The sequence below is a fragment of the Homo sapiens genome, chromosome 16, assembly GCF_000001405.40.
Source record: "Homo sapiens chromosome 16, GRCh38.p14 Primary Assembly".
Lineage (NCBI taxonomy): Eukaryota > Metazoa > Chordata > Mammalia > Primates > Hominidae > Homo > Homo sapiens.
Genome location: NC_000016.10, coordinates 7,698,434 through 7,719,591, shown reverse-complemented (window position 1 = coordinate 7,719,591; position 21,158 = coordinate 7,698,434). Strand labels below are relative to the sequence as shown.

At 42.2% G+C, this 21,158-nt stretch overlaps 1 protein-coding gene across 52 annotated transcripts in view, besides 1 other annotated feature; it reads right to left on the bottom strand.

Moving 5' to 3' along the window:
* The window catches only part of RBFOX1 (RNA binding fox-1 homolog 1), a 2,473,620-nt gene continuing 2,458,713 nt past the window's right edge, over nt 6,252–21,158 (bottom strand). For 33 of the 52 annotated variants that reach the window (NM_001415887.1, NM_001415888.1, NM_001364800.2 and 30 more), the window contains 2 exons: nt 10,461–10,536; nt 6,252–8,969 (listed from right to left, as the gene is read on the bottom strand). In NM_001415887.1, coding sequence (NP_001402816.1) covers nt 8,969; nt 10,461–10,536 — 77 coding nt within the window. In that variant the 3' untranslated portion in view covers nt 6,252–8,968. Of the gene's footprint in view, nt 10,099–10,460; nt 10,537–21,158 lie in introns of all 52 variants that reach the window. The other 19 variants (XM_017023318.3, XM_024450303.2, NM_001411047.1 and 16 more) reach the window with 3 other exon arrangements.
* Nucleotides 9,441–10,640: an enhancer, noted in NCBI's record as "MED14-independent group 3 enhancer chr16:7758954-7760153 (GRCh37/hg19 assembly coordinates)". NCBI's record gives its function as "activates an origin of replication core promoter dependent on BRD2, BRD4, P300/CBP and CDK7 cofactors, and independent of MED14, by STARR-seq in HCT116 cells {active_cell/tissue: HCT116}" and the evidence as "EXISTENCE:reporter gene assay evidence [ECO:0000049][PMID:35650434]".

Below are 21,158 nucleotides of genomic sequence, written 5' to 3'. Positions count from 1 at the left end.
AAAAATGACATCTTCGGACCTTCTGATTCTTAGCCAATGAGATTAAAATATCTCTATGTAATAAACCTACCTCCAGACCCAGGATCTATCAGTGTAACACCTTGTTGAGTTCCTGGCTGGTTGGCAGTAAGGGAGTAGGCATTCTAGGAGAATGGCAGAGTTGTTGTCCTCTCTTAGGCAGTCATTACTTGGTTTAGATGCCTGCTACCAGGAAGGAATGTGGACACTGTGCTCCCAAACTTACAGCTTCTCAAGGGACACATTCTATGAAATCTCCCCATTTTCAAACACTGGAAGTTAACAAATATCTTGTAAATACCTGTCCATACCCAACGATAGAATCTTAGGGGGCATTTGGTTTCCAAAGCCACCAGGAGGGTGGGTTCCATCCTACACCTTAGACTCAGTTACAGCATCCTTGTGACTGATGTGGAGAGACCAAGAACATTTATTTCCTTCCTAGCACTGGTACCCAGAAATTCAGAGATTGGGGCAGGGATATTGAACAAAATGGCCATGGCCTACTGGGGAGTCTCAGGGATATGAAACATTACTTCTTATCCCAACATCACAGTTGCTAGTAGCCTTGGCTGCTCAATTCTCCTCCCCTCTCCAAACTCCAAACAGATCCATATGGACATGGATAGTGTTCTTTTGGAAGATAAACCAAGTTGGTAGGAGACTCAGTTGTCAGTATTCAGTGAGTTTTAAAATACTAAGTCCAGTTTGCTTTGGAATATTGCTTCTGTAGCATAAAATATCTCTATAATCTTATCTAACCCTAGAATCTATGTCTGTGAGGCAAAGGGTGGGTCTTGGTACCTATAACAGTTTGTTATTGGAGTTGAGTGTTCTGTTACATTTCAAATCTATATCAAAGTGACAGAAATTCCTGGCTGAAAAATATCTTGAGGCAAACAAGAGGGGTGAAGATTTACTGCAAATCTTCCATGTCACTTTTTTCTGACAATCGGCTTTCAAAGTAATTATATTTCCTTCTATTTTACTAAGGAGGATGTGAGGGTTTAATGTGGTTGGACGTCTTGGCTGAGAACCAAGGTGGGGAGCTGAGATTTACACATGGGGCAGAGTGGCTCTGATGCAATGTGTTTCTCTGCGTTTGTGGATGCGCATTGCAGATATGCAAAGCACACGCAGGTTCATAGGTGGCTGCCAGTGGAGTAGGCACAGATACCAAATAACCATTAAAATGTTCAAGAATAGCTCTCAATAGGTGACCAGCCTCCCGGGTTTTCCAAATTTTACCTCACTTAACACTCTCCTGTGGTCACAAAAGCCAGTGTCTCTTTTCAATATGGCTCTTTATTCCCCGCCCCCCCCCCCCGCCCCCCGCAAAGTGAAGGCTGAGTAACTTTCTCAGACCCAAACCCTTAGTGTTGCACAATCTTACTGAATCTTCATCAAAATCCAATGAAGCATTTCCATAATCTGAAAAGTGAGCCCCAGAGAGGCTAAATTGCCAAAGTCACACAGCTAGGAAGAAGATGGAAGCTAGTAGAGGTGGGATCTAAAGTGAGGTTCATCTAGAATCTTTTTTTTTTTTTTTTTTAAAACAAAAAGGCCAAAGGTTGGGACATGGTAGTTCATATCTATAATCCTAGCACTTGGGGAGACCAAGGCGGGAGGATCATTTGAGCTCAGGATTTCGAGACCAGCCTGGGCATTCTAGTGAGACGTTGTATCTAAAAATAAAAGAGGAAAAAGACCTCTAACCACGACATCTTGCTGTCTGTTTTTCTATTCTTTCTGCTACATGCCTTAATCTTTGGCTTAATGGAAACAACAAAGATCTAGTGTCTTTCCATCAGCTTAGAAGAGTCAGTTATTTTCGAGTGATAGAAAAATTTTAGGAAGAGGAGCTAATTTTTCCACCGTGCATGGCGTAATCACTTTGAATTTCGGTATTTGTTGTAACTAACACTGAAGGTTTTGCGGGTTTTTCCCTTTCTCATAAAATGTGTACCCCCCACCCCCCATCTTCACACACTCTTTGGGGTGAGAGGAGAACAGATCTTTGGGGAAAAAAAGGGAAACAGTAGAAGGAACAATACGTCATCTAGTCATGCAATTTAGGAAAATAAAGGAAAAAAGCAGCAGCAAGCCAGTTATGCTGACAGCCCCGTCCAGCTTGAGCGGCAGTTCGGCTGCTGCTGAAATCCTACTTACAGTAATGAATTTCAATGCCACTCGCCAGCCTAGGAGTGTTTGGGGGAGATAAAAGTCGAGCTGTGTGCTGTGCGTCTGACCTGGTTTTCAGTTCTAGACAACTTCTGGTGTGGTTGCAGAAAGTTGGACTTTCCAGATGTGAGCATGAGGGCTTCGTTTTCTGGCCTGTAGTTTTATTGCTGTCTGCTTTAAGGCAGATTTTTGGAGGGGGGTTGTGCAGGGTTTAACTTGCTTTATAAGATTTGCTGGAGTCTGCATGCTGATGAGCTGCCAATTTGCATTCTGCGCCTTTGCAGCCATCACCTGCCCACAGCAGCACCATTACCCTACTTCCTGGGTCTCTGCTCTTCTATTTTCTACCTGCAGCCATTATTTTTTTTTTCTTTAGAGCCTGGGGAATTCTCTTGCTCTCGCTGACTTTTTGCTTCATTCAAGCAACACGCCATCTGTCTATTTCAGTCAGGGCGCTTGGATGTCAAAGTCACAGGCACCTGCTCGATTTCATGAGGAATCATCATGGGAGGGGTGGTGCGCACCCTTAAAGGAAGACGATGGGGCCCTCTTGATACCCCACCATCTAAACAAGTGCTCGCTAGGCAGCTAGTAAAACCAGACATCCGAGTGCAGTGTGCAGTAAAGAGAAGAATGCTTTGGCTTTGGCTCCTAGCTCCAAGGCTTTCATATGCTTTGTTACATGGGGCAAATTGCTTCCCGAGGCTGCTGCAAGGACTAAGTGCCAGGATATATGCTAAGTGTTTAGCATGTAGCAACAACTTTGGATTCGGTGACCGTGATTCAGCTCTACCACTTAATAGCCATATGCCCTGGGCATGTCCCTAGCCTTGCTCAAGCTTCTGGTTCCTTACAGGTAGACTGGGGAAATAATAGGATTTATCTTGCCAGGGTGTAAGGATTAAGATAACGGTAATAAGTCCCACTTGCTGATCTCTTACTCTATCAGTACCTACATGTTCTGTAGGAATTGGCATATATTTTTATGGTCTCATAATATATATATGGTAGTTATGCTAATGCACAGAGACATTAAAAAGCAGTTGGTCTCTATGCATAGAGATTTATATGTATACGATTGCATAGAGTTCTGTGTATAAACATAGTGTAGAATATCATATGTGTATATGTACGTATACTATATATACTATGTATCTTTTAACAGTCTGGTTCTGTTGCTCAGGCTGGAGTGTAGTGGTGCAATTATGGCTCACTGCAACTTTGCACTCTCAGGCTCAAAAGATCCTCCCACCTCAGCCTTCCTAGTAGCTGGCACCACAGGTGTGCACCACCACACATAGCTTATCTTTTAATCTTTTGTAGAGACAGGGTCTTTCCTGTGTTGCCCACACTGGTCTTGAACTCCCGGGCTCAAGTGACCCTCCGCTTTTTGCCTGCCTCCCCAAAGTGCTGGGATTATAGGCGTGAGCCACCATACCTGGCCAAAATGTGCATATTATTTGATCTTTAAAATATTTGAATGCATAAAATATATGGATACATGTACATTATATAGATATATACGTGATTTATTAGAGAAAATGCTATGTTAGGTTAAGTGTTTTGTGTGTTTTAATACATCTCATTGTAAGAACCCTTTAAGTTAATGGTGCAATTATCCCCAGTTTATGGGTGAGGTAACTGAAAGAGGTTAGGAGAGGTTCTAAATGCTTTCTGAAAGCAGAGGGGTCTAGGAATCTGCTTTTTCAAGCTCACCAGGTTCTAAGAAAATCTGTAGCGCATAGGTTGGATGAACACTGTCTCAGCAGTAAAATGCTTTTGCTTGTGTGTGCGCATGTGTGTATGCGTGAGTGTGCGCCCACAAAAACTACATTTCCTTCCAAAATGGCTACTTCCCAGGAAGTAGAAACAGGCTTCAGAAGACATAGGTAAAAAAAGTTGTCAGGATGTTGAGTGGGAACTTAAAGATAGTGGTCCAAGCTAACTGAACTGTATCTGTAATATTTTAGTTTAACGTGGAGAAGATTTTACTGTTCAATATATTGCTTTAAGAAGTACATAGCTGGCCAGGCATCGTGGCTCGTGCCTGTCATCCCAGCACTTTGGGAGGCTAAGGTAGGTGGATTACCTGAGGCCAGGAGTTTGAGAACCAGCCTGGCCAACATGGTGAAACCCCATCTCTACTACAAATAGAAAAACTAGCTGGATATGGTAGCACGTGCCTGTAGTCCCAGCTACTAGGGAGGCTGAGGCAGGAGAATCACTTGAACCTGGGAGGCAGAGGTAGCAGTGAGCGGAGATCATGCCACTGCACTCCAGGCTTGGTGACAGAGCGAGACTCCATCTCAAAAAAGAAAAAGCCAGTGGGATGAAGCAATGGCTACCCCTCAGGCATTGTCCACAGAAAATGCCAGCCAGCCTCTATTTCTGCATGAAGCATATGCATGGCATATGGGCTTCCTTTCTCACCTCTGCCCACACTCCAGGGGGAGGACAGGAGTGGGATGGCAAGAATCTGCATGCACTGGCCAGGTCTCTTAAACTTGTTTGCTTCTGCCATCAATTGTCTCTACATTTCACATAAAATTTAGATGCTTCTCTATTTTGGATAACAGCCTGCTTTTGGAGATTCTAATGTAAACTGTATCTGTCATCACCTCTTATATCCTCCTATTTAGTGGAGAAGGGCTCAGGTATAAACCAGTATTTTAGGAAACCCTTATCCTCCCTCCCACCACCTGTGAGGATAAAGCTAGCGACTTGTTTTAATTAACATCCATACATATTGTGTAAGGAGAGCACAAGAATCCCAAATTTAATGTCACCACTACCACCATCACCATCGATAATAAAGCAGGCACAGACTTCAGGGTCCGACAGTTCTTCATGTTGTGCCCTCTTTCAACACTTGCTAGATACAGCTTTGGGCAAATCATATGACCTATCGGATCCTTCCTGTCCTCATAAAATAAGGGTAACCCTATCTTTAAGGATCAGTTGACATAGGCCAATACAAGTTGATTTATAACCGGCATGGTCTTCATATATAAGGAGTTTACAGAGAAGGGATGATTAAATATACTGAAATAAGATAGATGCTGTGAAGACAACCTGCAGTGTGGAAAAAAAAATGATTGCAGAACAAAGAGTCTGCAGGTGGCACACAGGGTTAAACTGCTCATGTATAAAGTTCTTATTGGTCAGGTGAGAACATGCCTCGTCAGTTAAGGGTGCACGTTCTGGAATCCTAGGGTGATCACCTGCTTGCTCTGTGACCTTGGAGAAATGAATCTTTGTGTCTCAGTTGCTTCACCTGTGGATAATAGCTTACAGTTTATGAAGTACTGCTGCAAGCACTTTATTGAGATTGCTTTCTTCTGCATAACAATATTAGGTCAGTGAGATGATCCTGAGGTGCAGTTGGGGAAACTGAGGCACAGCACTTTGGTTTAATTCATCCTGGATTGCCACCAGCAAGTTGACAGAATCAGGGTGCACACTCAGAATATGTTTCTAGAACGCACATGTTAAAAATCTTTCAGTGATACCAACTTAATAGGAATATTAAGATATAATGAGATAGGATTAAGATATTAAGTAACTAAATGGGGTGGACAGTTCAACCCTGATTTTTAAATAAGGAACACACGATTTTTGGCTCCTAATGAGCACTCAATGTATGTGAACTCTAGCACTTACTATATTTTTTTCATCTTATCCGAGGTGTCCCAAAAAGTAATTAATAGCTCAAACATATTTAAGATGAGTGATGTATTTTGTTTTAAACTGAAGACTTGATACTTCCATGCTAGGAGATAGCTAAGCTTAGTTCAGTTTCTTAAACAGCCAGGGTGAGTTCCACTGACTTCTTTGGGAAAATGAGTGAGGAAGGGAAAGATTTTAATCCAGAAAAGCAGGGAACTTGCAGGAGGCATCTGGTCTACTGGTGGCCAGGGCAGCCTCCTGCTCACTTGGGCAACACCCACCCCACATCCCCGGGCGGGCCCAAGTGCAATCACAGCTGTGGATAACAAATCTACCCACTGAGAGAGAAAACCCATGGAAGCCAAATAACTCAGAACACCAACTTGTACCTTTTCAGACTAAGCTTTTATTTTTTTGATATTACAAACCAGTTTTCTTTATTCACAAACCACTGTAAGTGATATAAACACTAATTTCTAAAGACAGATATACACATTTTCTGGGTTTGCAGATTGCGTGATGTGTGTGTTAAGAAGTCACTATATGCCACACATAATATTAATTTTCCATAATTCATAATAGCAATAGTTATTTAGATAAATGAAAACATTCCAAATAAATACTGTTTAAAAAAAATCCAAAATGTTTGTTTACATCTCTGACATACATTTTAAAATGACTTATTGGCATCTTGGAGTGCCTAGACAAAAGATTCTGCAACATCGGTTGGCACTCACTCACTCTAAATGATTTTATTAAAACTACATACAGTCATGGGGGAAAGTACAGCTCATTGATGAAAATCAAAACTGCAAATGAATTTTACTTTAACCAACACAGTAAGAATTCTATGTTTGTGATTCGAAACACAATACAAATTCTGGATTTTGAAATCTGAGGCGGCAATTGGGAGAAATTTATTCTCCATAGCCCCCTGCTCCTACTCTTTCTTCCCTCTGGAGGATGTCATAGTGTTTTAATAATTCGTTTCCTTTAAGAACATCAACCAGGCACCCATTGCCATAACACTGTTTTCCAGGTGGGGGAATGAGAATGTCTTAGTGATGCTATAAAACACCCTCTTGCCCCTCCCCTCACCCACCCAAAGAAGTCTGGTGAAAAGAACACTTTATATGCTTTTGGCTGATAAGTAGCTCCCCCCTCCCCCTTTTCTCTTTTCAAGATCACTATCGTCTGTCTTAGGTATCGAAGCTACAGAAACTTTGTTTTCAAATCTTGTGAAACTTTATTGATGGTTTAATATCCAACTGATCTTACGGCATGCACATAGGATGGCAAGAGAAAGCTGGATCACACATTTTTTTTTAAAGTTTTGTTTGGTTTTGTTTTAAAGCAGAGTTGTTACAGCGGATTGGCAGGTTCACAGCGGTGAGAGTTGATAACTTACTGAAGTGCGGGCCACAGGGCCTGCACTGTACACATGAGGACTTAACCTATGGCAGCAAAACTACTCAGGGACAGCCTGCTGCTGTTGTTTTTATTTAAATACAAAACAGGAAGACCCGTGACGGATACCCCAACTTAAGTTAACTTGTAAACAGGACAACGTGGAAAGTTCAAACAGAAGTACAGACAAACTGCAATTTTTCGGCTGTGTCACTCTGGCCCTGCATCCGAGAAAGGTGGGGAGACTTTGTTCTTTTGGGATTAAGAGGGTGGATGTACTTTTTTCTTTTTTTGCATCCTTCTGACAAGTGTCCTGGGCCTTGGAGACAGAACTAAAGAGATCATTTTGAGATAATCCTTGGGGGTATGGGAAAGAGGTGGAAGGGCAGGATCTCACGGACTGAAAAATTGCAGATTGTTCACACAACGCAGTCACGTTTCAAAAAGTACCAAGCTGATGAAAATACCATGATTATCTCTACTCAATGATTGCAATACTTGTAAAATGCTTCTATAAATCCGAATATGATTATCATGTAATTCCATAAAAATTATACGTCTGTCTCTAACAGTTGTTCTACTAGGCTAAAACTAAAGCTTCATAGACTGTTTCTAGAACTTAACAACTCCACTGCACAGATGTAAATTTTATACATTTTTTTTAACTGGTACAAAGAATTTAAGTTTTTATTACTTTCTTTTTTTGGAAAAAAAGAAAAAAATAGAAACAGTGCTTTTTTATCACCTTTTTATTAATGTTATTTTTTCCCTCCCATAATATAAAAGTCAGCAGTGATATCAATAATTTATTATACTGGAAGAAATATAAAAAGAATGCTTGTTGATGGCCTAACTAGTGGGTTTTTTTTCCTAAATAGCGACTGGTTAAGAAGCTGAATACTGCCGGGTGGAATGGTTTAAAGGGTGGGTTTGCACAGCTTCATTCAACTCAGATGCACAAGTGCTACTAGAAGCACCCCCTTAACAACATGACCTTTGGCTTGAACTGGCAATGAGTAACTTAGAACCATTGATAAATGATTGTTGGTGCAGTGGGTCGTTTAGATTCATCAGTTACATTTTTTTTTTTTTCTTTCAGCCAAACCCCAGTTCCAATCCCCTAAGCCCCTCCCAACCTCCCCTTTCGCAAAATAAAATAATGCAGGTGCAGAAAAAAATGACTACTGTAGTCACTTACACTCTTCCCAAATAGCTGATAACCCCAGTAGCTTAATATTCAGCATATATAATTCATTTACATAATATAGCACTCTGGATATGGCCCTAAACCAGTTTTTATTCATTATCTAGCATCTGTCTAGATCAACCACAAAAACTCCTACAGCCAGCAACCAAACTACGGAACCTTCAGAAATTAAAGACCCACAATATTAAAATACACAGAACAAAATATCTGAGGTATAAGATAAAAAATGTAATTTTTTTTCCTTTTTATTTGTATTTTTTTTTTTTTTAGAGTTGCTAAAATGATGTACTACTGCATGTATTGCAATACTCAGGCCTCGGAAAGCTTCCTTTCTCCCCACATTGGAAGGTTTTTATGGTTTTGTCATTTAGTATGGAGCAAAACGGTTGTATCCCCCTCGGTATATACTAGCCTGCAATGAAGAAAGAACGAGACCCACATCATCAGCATGGCTCCTAGTCTTGGCATCAGTCAAAGGTGCAAAAGCATTCTGAAACAAAGCAATTTGAGGGGTGTGTTTTTTACATTTTCCTTTTGCAACATGTGGATCATCAAAAAGACTAATGTGAAAAATAGACACTCAAAACCAACCGAAATGGAGGCACCCCCTACCCATCCCAGGTCATTCTTGGAGAACTAAAGATAGGGCCATTCCTGACCTTCCCCAATAGCTCCTCCTAAAGAAATTCCCTGCAAAACCAAATTCTGTCAGCCAGTCCTCTTAGCTAAAAGGACTCTATTATAAGCTGGACAATGGAAGGATTTTCACTGTCTCATTTTTTTATAACAGAATAATCTGCACTTGAGGTTGAATTTGGACCAGTTGTTGAATGTAATTCAACTCTCCAACACATTCCTCATGTGGACTAGGTGTTGAAGCAGAGTTGTTGAATGCAGAATTGGGATGAAAATCTCAACCTACTTCTTACTTAACTTGGCTCTGTAAGCTGTATGGAATCTGATCTTGAGAAGGGAGTTGTGGAGTTGTACAGATGAATTGCTTGATGTAATTAAGCTTGTGCAAAACAATGCTTCCAAATCATGGCTGAATTTCTATGACTGAGCTTCAGTGAACTGTCCGGCCATGGTTTTAATGGCTACAAGGTGGCACTTAACGATTTCCTTTTTCTAAAAGTATTGGCAATTCAAATGAATGCCTATGGGGATTCATTTTTAGGGTAAGGACTGATATTCTTGATCCAAGCAGAAAACTGCATGCCAAAGCTTTGTAATGATTGCATATGCTCTCACGTGATGGGCACGTCTTACTGTACTCAAGAGTTTCAGTGCATAGAAGTTTGAACAAGTACAGGCAAGTTCACCCCACCCTTACCTCCCATTTTTTACCCTCCCCCCACCCCCTCCCAAAACAAAAACCCAGACCTGCCCCAAAACAAAAGGCAACCCCCAAACCCAGCTGATTCCTTCTACTTTCTTATGTACTAGGTACACACACAAAGTGTGCCCCTCTCTATTTTCTTTCCTGGGCGACTATGACTTTAAACATGAATTGTAATAGGGGAGGAGAGGCAGTCAGATTCTCAGCTGCCTGACAGCAGAGGCCTGGAAGTGTGCAGCTTAGCTCCTCTGAAGTCTGTGCTGGGGCTGGAACCTTGGGGCTATGTGAATGAGCAGCAAGGGAGGGAAAAAAAAAGAAAAAAAAAAGTTCTGCATTGACACTGCATTCTGTTAGTGATGGATTTAATTATCAAAATGACTAATTATTCCATTAAGGTAAGTGCTCTGCTAGGTGAGACTTGCAAAATTAGAAATATAATAACTTACATGCACTACATTGCCAAGAAATTAAGACATTTATCAAGTTTACTGGGAGGATTAATGTGGCATTTTAGCTGCTGTTAGCACAAGAGACAAATTCAATTAACGGGAAGTGAGAGGACGTCAACCCGTACTGAGGTCCCAGCTGGGGAAAGGGAAGGGAGGCAGGAGGAAGTGAGGACAAGGAGAAACTTGTACTCACCATGGCACCAACGCCGTAGGTGGGGGCTGGAGCAAGTGCGTGGTGGTAGGGGTCGGCAGCATAAACTCGTCCGTAACTGAAAGGAAAATAGAGGTGAAGATTGATCCACAGTATGCAATTACAAAACAATAACAATCATAAAATCCAAAATACCAAGACAGTATGCAGGGGCCCTACTCATCTTCCAGTGAGAAGCAAATTCTACTCTGCTGTGTAGTATAAGAAGAGTTCATCTGTACATGATACATTTTTTGTGCATTTAACATGGTTGCTATTGCTATGTTTGACAGATAAATACATATATACACACGTACTTACATATGCTTTTCCCTGCCTCCCCCCATAATACTGTTTCTACACTGCTCAAGTAGCTGCCTTAGAGACTGAGGTAGGTAAGAAAGAAACAACTTCAAGTATTAAGCCCAGCACCCACAGAGGGTATTTTAATTCTCAAGAGAGTGCCTTTTTCTCCTGATTCAGCTGTCACCATTCAAGTGAAATAGGGTGAATCAGAAAGGGTGAAGTGAACCTGTCTGAAGTTAGTGTCCAGCATCTTAGAATGGAAAGGAACAAGTATATTTGAATGGAAGCAGCCTTAAAGGGTCTGTGGGACCCCCATTCCCATTCCCATTCAATCAGACTGATTTGGTTTTGATCCTATTATTCCAGAACTTCTGTCACATTAATCCATGGCCAGGTTCTGGGAAGGGGGAGGCATTTGAAACAACAAATCTTAATGACATTTACTCATCTTTGTGTTTTTCTCTCTACCATCCTACTACCTGCCATGGCTTCTGGTATAGGCTTTAGGATAAAAATGGAGAAGAGATGGAAACCAAACGTGCTGAATGCCTACTAAATATCTGGAAGTTAACTTTTTTTTTTAAAGGAATCAAGTGAAGTCACTTGCTCAAGGTCGCATAACTAGACAGGGCAGATCTTGATTTTTTATGAGGGGGGAGACAAAGTCTTGCTATGTTACTCAGGTTGGTTCAAAACTCCAGGGTTCAAGTAGTCTACCAGCCTCAGCCTCTCAGTGTTAGGATTACAGGCGTGAGTCACTGCACTCAGCCTGATACTTGAATCTCTTAGGGCAACTTGCGTGCTTGGTCCACCGTATCCTGTGCCCATACTTGTTTGCCCTGCCAGATATTTTCCTGGAGATAGTTTGAATGCTGCTATCTTAATACTGACTGAAGCTGACGTCCTTCCTTGAAAGCTGATACTGGAATAGATTCCTGTGCAAGTGACTTACCGAATGGGGTGTCCTCAAGAGGAAGAGAGGGGCAAGTAGGTCAGAGCAAGGGGAAAAAAAACGCAACGTCTGAGATGAATATCTGCGACCTGATCCTATGGGTTTCATGCTACAGCAGGTTCCACCTAGAGGCAAGTGGGTTGGCTTTTTAATGCCTACATAAGTTTTCGGCATTAGCTGTGGGCTTTCCTGAGGAGTGAGTGATGCACCATTGAGTTAAAGTGGCTTCCTCTGACATGGGGCAATTTTCTGGAGAAGGGAACAGCTGTACTGTTAGCAACCAACATTCACAGCAGCTCGGCATGAATGCATCAGACACTCACTGGGATCGACATCGTTTTTTGATTCTTTGACCATTTCCTGAATGAAGGAACAAGGCTGGTGGAAGAAATGGTTTGTCTGTATTATCAACCTTCAGCTCGTCTCTCATCCCTTAGAGCCCAATTTGCACGTACCTTTTCCCTCTCCTTTCCTGTTTTCCCCCCATTTTCCTTCCAAGCTTTCTCATGGTTGGTAGATAAGTGATACCAATCCAATACATGTTTGACCACCTCACACCATGGAGTCTGAGAAGGTGAAGAAAGCGTGATGATGGACCTTCTCAGACTCCAAGTTAGACCCTAGGTGGAATAAAACAATTGATTATACCAGGTTTGCACTGGGCATCTTCCAACTCTCAAGCCCATCTGCCTGTGTCAAAGGGCACTTGATGAGTGCAAATAATCTAGATGAGGCTTTCAGCTTCAAGAGGATTCTCCTGATCCTCAAACAAGGACCTGAAGGGATGCCTCTCTTCTGAGGTGAATCTGTCAGTGAAACTGACAGTCATCTCCCTCTTGCCTTTCATTCTTTGGGGACACCCTTCAGTCCTTCTTATCAAAAATGGCCTTTAATCAACGATTATCCTTCTTTCTGGGAGGAAAAACAGGTATCGGTCCAAGGGCAGATGTGTTAAAAAGTTTTTGATAAAATAATAATATATTCAGAGAGCTCACTCCTGAGACCTGGGCCTTTACCCACTTAACTAGAAGTACATAGTAACAGGCATAAAAGGAAAACTATAACCTTGGTACTGCTCTTTATTTCATGAGGGAATGAAGTCTGTGATTGATTGGTCCAGAGAAAAATCTGTTAATAGGGTTATTTTTAAGGTACTTAAATTTGGCAAAGCTGTTTCATAAATAGGATATGAAGTGCAGAGGCAAACTGAAATCCTTGAGAGTTTGTTAAGTGATGTTATGGCAAGGTGTTACCTCAAAACAAATGTGAAAAGATGCAAATTCAGATATATTATTTTAAAAATTGGGGAAATGGTTTTACTGTGGCAATAATTTCCTCTTCTGGGGAGACACTATATGGGCAATTTGAATGTATTTAATAAAAGCGTAGCTCCCACCTTTTCCTACTGCATACTTCAGTGGTAAATTCTATAACGCTGGGCATAGTTTCAACCTTTGTGGAAAACCCAAGGTAACAATTTGGCAGTATTCTCTTCCAAGGCAGAAGGAAAATACAGCAGCATTGAACTACTCCTCAGAAATGAGCTGCCTCCTTTTCTCTTCAGGGTGACCTCTACCTTCAGAATCCAATGGTTTTATTATGATTAATAAATTTCATTTCCCCAGAGGAAAAGAGATCATGTCAGCTCAAACTGAAAGCAAGGAGGCTTCTTTTCAAATGCTAATTTCTGAACACGCCCTTGTGTGACACTACAATTTAGTCACAAGGTTATTGGGGAAGATGTGGACTTGAGTGCTACGTTTGCAGCAGATATGCCAAGCACGTCAGCAATCTGATGTCCTCAGAGCTGGCTAAGCACAGCCCGGAGACAGAGCACAGCAATACCCAGGATGTCCACAGGAATGATGGGAAGAGGTCTTACGGTCGCCATGTTAGGACACGACCAGCTATATGGTCATCCTCCACACCATGCATCCCTGGCCAAAGTGGGCAGTAGTGCAGTCAGATCATGATGATCTCCATGTGCCCACTTCCCATCCATCAGTAATTTCGGAAGAAATCTTCAATGTGTCCACTTTACTCCATGCACATGATGACTACACTAATATATGCCACTAGTTCATCAACACCAACTCAACAGCCATAAATCTTGTCTCATTTTTTCAACTCTTGCTCCTTCAAACCAGCAGCTATTTACATGTATCAAATCTCTCAAGTCTGTCCATCTCTCCACTTAAATATAAATCTAATCCTATGACTCCCCGCTTAAAACCCTTCAATAGTTTTCCATTGATCCTAGAATAAAATCCAAACTTGAATAAGCTGCCTCTGTCCCTCTTTCAATCTTCATCTTCCTTCCCTTGGTTACTGTGCTCCAGGCACATAGGATTTTTAAAAAATTTAATATTTTTTTGAGTTGGTCTTGCTCTGTTGCTAAGGCTGGAGTGCAGTGGCACAATCTTGGCTCACTGCAAGCTCCGTCCCTCAAGTTCATGCCATTCTCCTGCCTCAGCCTCCCGAATAGCTGGGACTACAGGTACCTGCCACCACACCCAGCTAATTTTTCTATTTTTAGTAGATATGGGGCTTCACTGTGTTAGCCACGATGGTTTTGATCTCCTGACCTCGTGATCCTCCTGCCTCGGCCTCCCAAAGTGCTGGGATTACACGCATGAGCCACCATGCCCGGCCCACACAGGCTTTCTTGATCGTTCCTGCACACATGCAAATCCATTCTCTGCTTAGTCTTGGCACTTGCTCACCCTCCACCTGACTTTCATCTTTTATGTTTCAAATCAAATGTCCCTTCCCTAGAGAGATGAAGAGATGCTTCTTTCTCTGGCTCTCTGCCTTTTTTTTTTTTTTTTCTTTTGAGACAGAGTCTTGCTCTGTCACCTCGGCTGGAGTGCAGTGACATGATCTCGGCTCACTCTAACCTCTGCCTTCTGGGTTCAAGCGATTCTGCCTCAGCCTCCCCAGTTGCTGGGATTACAGGCGCCCATCACCATACGTGGCTAAATTTTGCATTTTGTAGACAACATTTCACCATGTTGCCCAGGCTGGTCTCAAACTCATAACCTCAAGTGATCTGCCTGCCTTGGCCTCCCAAAGTGCTAGGATTACAAACATGAGCTACCACACCCAGCCTGACTGCTCTTATTTTTAAGGGCACTTTCCAACTTCATCCCTACCCCTTCATGTTGTATAGCAACTCTAATAATCTTATTTCCCACTCCACCTGATCATTTACCTTTCACCCTCCTGGAACGAGAACTCCATGGAGGCTGGGGCAGTGTCTATTTTGTCTGCCATTGCATCCCCACTGTCTAGAACAGTGCAGGTAGAGAGGAGGCAGCAAGACAAAGGAGTAAAGAGAGAAATGGGGCCTGGGAGAGACACTCATGCCTGTAATTATGATCCCATTCAGATACGCTTTTTGAAGACTCTGGGTCAGCTGCTCCCAGACACATTCAGGATGCTTCAAGACAGAAGAAAACTTTCTGGGGACTCTAGAAATAGTGTACACTTTTTACATCATTTCTGTGAGTTTGCAAAACACTGGCCAAGTTGCCATAAAACTCATCAAAAGCCTTCAGGGAAAAACTAAACAAAGATATAAAAGAGGACTGCTTTCCTGGCTAATTCACCATGGCTTGCAACCATCATGAGACCTCATCTTTTTGACCTTTAGCAACAAGTTAAAACTGGGAAGCAACCCGAGGGCTTGGAGATTCAGGACTTGGGGCAAAAAGATCCAGGTTTGAGTTCTGCTTTTATGATGTCCTTGCTCTCATGACTTGGACAGAGCATGCTCTCTGAGCCTCATCTTCCTCATTTGTAAAGCAGTAGTTTTCTGACTGAGCCCTACCTAACTCAAGGTGCATTCAAGAAAGCCAGGTAAATATTAAGCCACCTACAGATAGAGGAGATTATGATACATGGCTTCTTAGATTGTATTTCACAAACCAATCTCTCCCTCCTTGCCCAGACTTTTGGTCTGCAGAGGCAATTGAAAAATTCCATTCTAATATAATCACATGCAGCTCTACCGATCAAATTACAGATGCTTTTGGAGTTGAGATCTAATTTATGAGTTACAGATGTAGTTCAAATGGATATACTTACTTGAACTTAAGGTTGTGTTGGAGCAAAATGAATAAGTATGCAGCCTCTTGAATGGGAATATAAACCCGTGTTTGTTAAAGTGCTTTATCAACTCTACTGAGACACGTTAGCAAGAAGTACTATGTACACCTACTTGAAACAAGCTGGATGCTAATGAGATACAATGGGCCCATGTTGGTACTCCACACCAGGGTTTTAACATAATTTTCTTATAGGGCCACAGTAAGAACACTAATTAATTTCACTATATTTTACTCCCTATTTTGATGAGGAGCGTTTATGCCCTGGGAACTTTTTATTCTTCCATTAGTATCATCTCCCCATGCTTCTCACCCCAGAGATAGCTGGGTGAATCCTGTGGAGCAGAAAGATGAGTGAAATCTGCTCAGCTCTCAGATGAAGTTCAGAAGGTAGCAAAGACATCCTAAACAGCCAAATGGCAGCAAGAAAATGCATGGGCTTGTACCCCTCCCAACACAGAGAAGGGCTGCAGAGTATGCATTCAAAATGGGATGTCTCACCAGGGATCAATGAATGGCCCGGGTCTCTGCAATGCAATTAGGGACTACAGTGCCTCCTTTATCCTTATATCTAAGGCATAGTCTTAAGTATTTGGAAAAATGAATCCATGCAAGTCGCACACTTACCGTACAGCATAGCAACAGGGCACCAACTGTGGTTCAGTGGTTCTAAAAGCATGCTCTTTAGAGAGCCATGGTCTAGCTAAAGGGATGTTCTCTTTCACTTCCCTGTATAGGGTCAAATGAGATTTAGCAGTTCTGCTGTCTACCCCCCTGGTTGGGGTGCTCTGGGGCACCAGGTAAGAAGGGGGACATCAGAAGGTAACCTGCACCCAGGAAGAAGTGATTCTCATCCCACTCAGATATTCATCCTATTTCATTGCCCTCATTTTTGGGGTTTGAGGACTTTTCCAAATGAAAAATAAATGATGTGTTGAAGACAATCCTTTGGTTTGCATTGTTGCTGGTATCATTACCAATGAGTTGTTGCTTTTGCCCATCCGGAGGAACTGCATCTGGAACATACATTCCAGACCAAGTGTTCTGTGTTTGGACAAAATGCTCGGCTTTCAGCAATTCTCAGGGGCTGGAAAGGAGTCACAGCCAATATTGGCCAGGAAAAGAAAGAACAAGACCAGAAGGGGAGGGCGCATGGCTTCTGAGTTCTGCAGCACTGCCCCAGCTACTGCTTTACTTCCTTCTCTCATCCAACTAGAAATAAATGAATCCGTTGTCAATCATAAACTGTTATGGGCATTTATGTTTTCCAACTCAACCATCCCATACTCGTCACTAAATGAAAATGCAGCAAAACAGTAAGATCTCACAGTCCTACTGAAAGAGGCTGAAGGCTTCTGACAAATCTCTTGGCAATTCTGCAACTGCAGAGAGGTCCCCTCAGCTTCTTGGGGATTCTGTGGGGTCAGAATGGAGACAAAAGCTCACTTCAAAGGACAAAGAAATGTAGCCCAGAATATGGGACTTCACAGAAGATCTTTCAAAAATTCCGAGCTTAGGACACCTCAGTATATCTCTGAAATGATCAGTCTCTTATCTTCATGCCAATAAATATTTACCACACAACCAAAATCTCCATTTTCAAATCGCAGAATCCCAGGTTGTAAGGTCTGGGCTAATCCCAGTGCGCATCCATTTGAGAAAATGTTGGGGTAATTATGGCCAAGATTTTAATCTTGCAGGAGAAGAGCCATTCAAGGAAAGGACAAGTTATCTCAGTGCACTATGCAGGTACATGGAGAGACAACAGGTGCCAACCACCCCACCTCTGCCCTACAGAAAGATTTGAGAGGGTTTCCAGAACCTCAGGCCATGCACCCTGGTTTGCTGCAACAGGGAGAAACCCTCCTGAAAGCATTAACATAACTACTTGGATGTATTGGGAAATTCAGAAAGCAATGGTTTATCTAGGAAATGTTCCTGTTCACTTTCACTCTACAAGGGTCAACTGAGTTCTGGACTTCAGATCTGTTGGTCAGTTAGTGAATTTAGGGAAATACTCCTCTGTGGTTACTATAGCCTTCTCCTAGTTTTAATTTGAGCAATGACTTATACATTTATTGACCATAGGGATGACCAAGCTCACTTATCCTCAAAGCTTCTCAAGATACTGAAGTTGGAGGAACTAAACCAGTCCCTAAACACCTAGAGGAGAAGTCCCTGGCCTTCTTGGCACCAGGGACCAGTTTTGTAGAAGACAGTTTTTCCACAGACCAGGGAGGTGGAGAATAGTTTCAGGAAAAAAAACTGTTCCACTTCAGATCATCAGGCATTAGATTCTCAAAAGGAGTGTGCAACCTAGATGCCTCACATGCACAGTTTACAGTAGGGTTGGTGCTCCCATGAGAATCTAATGCTGCCACTGGTCAGACAGGAGGTGGAGCTCAGGCAGGAATGTGAGTGAGAGGGGGCGGCTGCAAACAGGAAGCGTTGCTCACCCCCCACCCCGCTCACCACCTGCTGTGTGTCCAGTTGGGGACCCCTGACCTACAAAATGACTAAAAATGCAGCAAAGTCTCCAAAAATGATAAAACTAGAAGTGGAAGAAATGCTCCAAGATAACATGGAGTCATCTCTACTTGGCTCTGTTTGAGTTTCATTGCTGCTGACTTCCTTAGCTTGTCTTTAAAGCGCTTAACTTCAGAAATCACTTAGCACATTTTTCAACCTCGTGATTTCCCTGCCTCCCCTGAGAAGTAGGAGGGAACACATCTGAGCTTTTTAGACCCTACATGAGAAGCCACAGAACTTGCTTTTTTTTGCCCATGGATACCTGTCATACATCAGAACTATGCATACATAATACGTACACAAATCCAACACTGTGGCATCTAAAAGACTCAGACCATTTACCCATGGCAAATCAGATCACATCATCTTTTCTCTAGCCCACCAATGCCATTCAAAACCTCTTCCTATTCTGAAAACCTCTTCCTATTCTGAAACCCAACAGCAGATTTGAGGGAAAGCAGAATAGCAGCCACTCTCGGAGTAGAGAAGACACAGTAAGTAAGTCCCACTTTTGGTGATGAAATTCTCCTGCCCTAGAATACCTCCTCTAAAAAAGGAGCTGTAGGCACATTCTCTTTAATGCAGAGCTCAAGGCCATCCTTCTCTTAGAAATTTCATTTCTCCTTTGTTTGTCTACTCCTGCTCTACCAAAATCACTAAGAATTTTTATTGTGCTTTGAAATCACCATGGCACCCCAGCTATACTTTACCCCATAGGAGGAAAAACAAATTGTATCCCTTATGAGATTTTCAATACCCTTCCATGAAGCAGGGTTGAACAGCAGCTGGGGATCCCTCAGTCAGAATTTCTAGAGTCAAACACTGACTGTTACTTCTTGCTAAGCTATCTCAAAGTTCTTCTCTTTGAGTTGGTTATACCATCTATAAATGGAGATGATAATGGTGCATCCTCATCGTACAAGGCTACAGTGAGGGTGAGAGGAGGGTTATGATTACTAGTTAAGGACTAAACAAGTGACAGTTATTAAGACTGAGAGGACTGCAGCTATTGCCTCTCGTCTATTTTATGTGGGATCAGTGAGCTTCCCGGTAAAGCCCCAGGGGTACATGTGTCAGAGCTACCCCTGAATTGGATTGATGATCCAAAGTCTTATGTACTGGCATCTCCCATCCTCAAAGCAAGCAGATCAAAGATTAAGACAAAACAAGCAGGTTGAGAAGTAGGGAGGTTCTGGGCCCTGAACCCCAAGGAATGTCCCTCTACAGCACCAACACACCCACCTAGCACCAGGAGGCAACGTTAAAATCCAATACCAAGACACTGACAATGTCCAGATTATCTGTCACAACATTTTAACTCCTGGTGAACATCCCCCACCTCCAAATGACCAGTTCTTGGGGACACACAAACTCTTTCAATATTCATTTGAGCCAAATGAAAAATGTGGTTCTAAAATGGGATTGAGAGAAACATAATAAAAGCCACACATGCAAGACATATGTCATTTTAAATTTTACAGTAACATTTTAAAAAGTAAAAAAAAAAGGTGAACTCATTTTTATTTTCTCCAGAATATTCAAACTGTCATCACTACAATGTGTAACTCACAATTATTGATATATTTTACATCATTTTTGTACTAAGTTTTGGAAATCCAGCATGCATTTTTTACTTACAACTCATCCTGGTGTGGACTGGCCACATCTCAAGGGCTCCACAGCCACATGTGAACACAACTTTAGCAAGTCCTATTGTGTGCTCTTTTTACCATTGAAACAAAAAACGTTGGCTGGGTGTGGTGGGCCCGTGCCTGTACTCGCAGGACTTTGGTAGGCCAAAGGGGCAGGATGGCTTGAGGCCAGGAGTTTGAGATCAGCCTGGGCAATAGAACAAGACCCCATTTCTTCAAAAAATTAAGATATCAGCTGGGTGTGGTAGCACCTGCCTGTACTCCCAGCTACTAGGGAGGGTGAAGTGGGAGGATCGCTAGATCCCAGGAGGTCCAGGATTACAGGAAGCTAAGATCAGGCTATTGCACTGAACTCTCCAGCCTGGATGACAGAGACCCTATCTCAAAGAGAAAAGGTCCCTGATTGATCAGTTAGTGTGTCCCAAGGTGTGAGGTCTTTTCTATTACAATTATCTGGGGCAACTTGTTAGAATGCAGATTTCCAGGCTCCCTCTCCGGACTTATGAATCAGAATCTCAGGGGCAGGGGAAGGCGACAAAACAGGCTCTGCATTTGTAACAAGTTCTCCAGGTGACTTTGGTGCATTCTTCTAGAATTTGATAACCACCATTCCATTTTTTAAAATTCTGCATGCATGGATACAGCACTTTCCCACTTAGGCTAATTCAGACTATCTAGACATCTTTAATTTTCACAAATTGATTGCACACACTTTATAGGGTATTGTTATTGCATGCAGCAAGCCTGAGACTATGCCTCATATACAGAAGGTTCTCAATAAGTGGGAGTATGTTTCCTAAGTTCCTTTGCTTATATGGCCCCTTAGCTCCCTGTACTTTCCCTATTATAATACATATCACACTTTATTGGAAATGGACCAATTAGCCACAAATCAATTTACTGCATGACAACTTTGCTGAATAATCAAATCACTAAAATGCAGAAAAGACAATTAGATGAGACTTGCTGAAGGATCAGTTAGAGGAATGGCCAATTGGGAAACTTCTTCTAAATATTAAATATTACCTAAAGTTTTAATGTAGCTGGCAGCATGTGTAGGTTGAGAAGTGGGGATAGAAAAATGAAAGGCGCTGGTGACACCTCCTTGTACCCCTGAACTTGCTTCTAATTGGTAACTTGGGTAGCAACCTGCCCC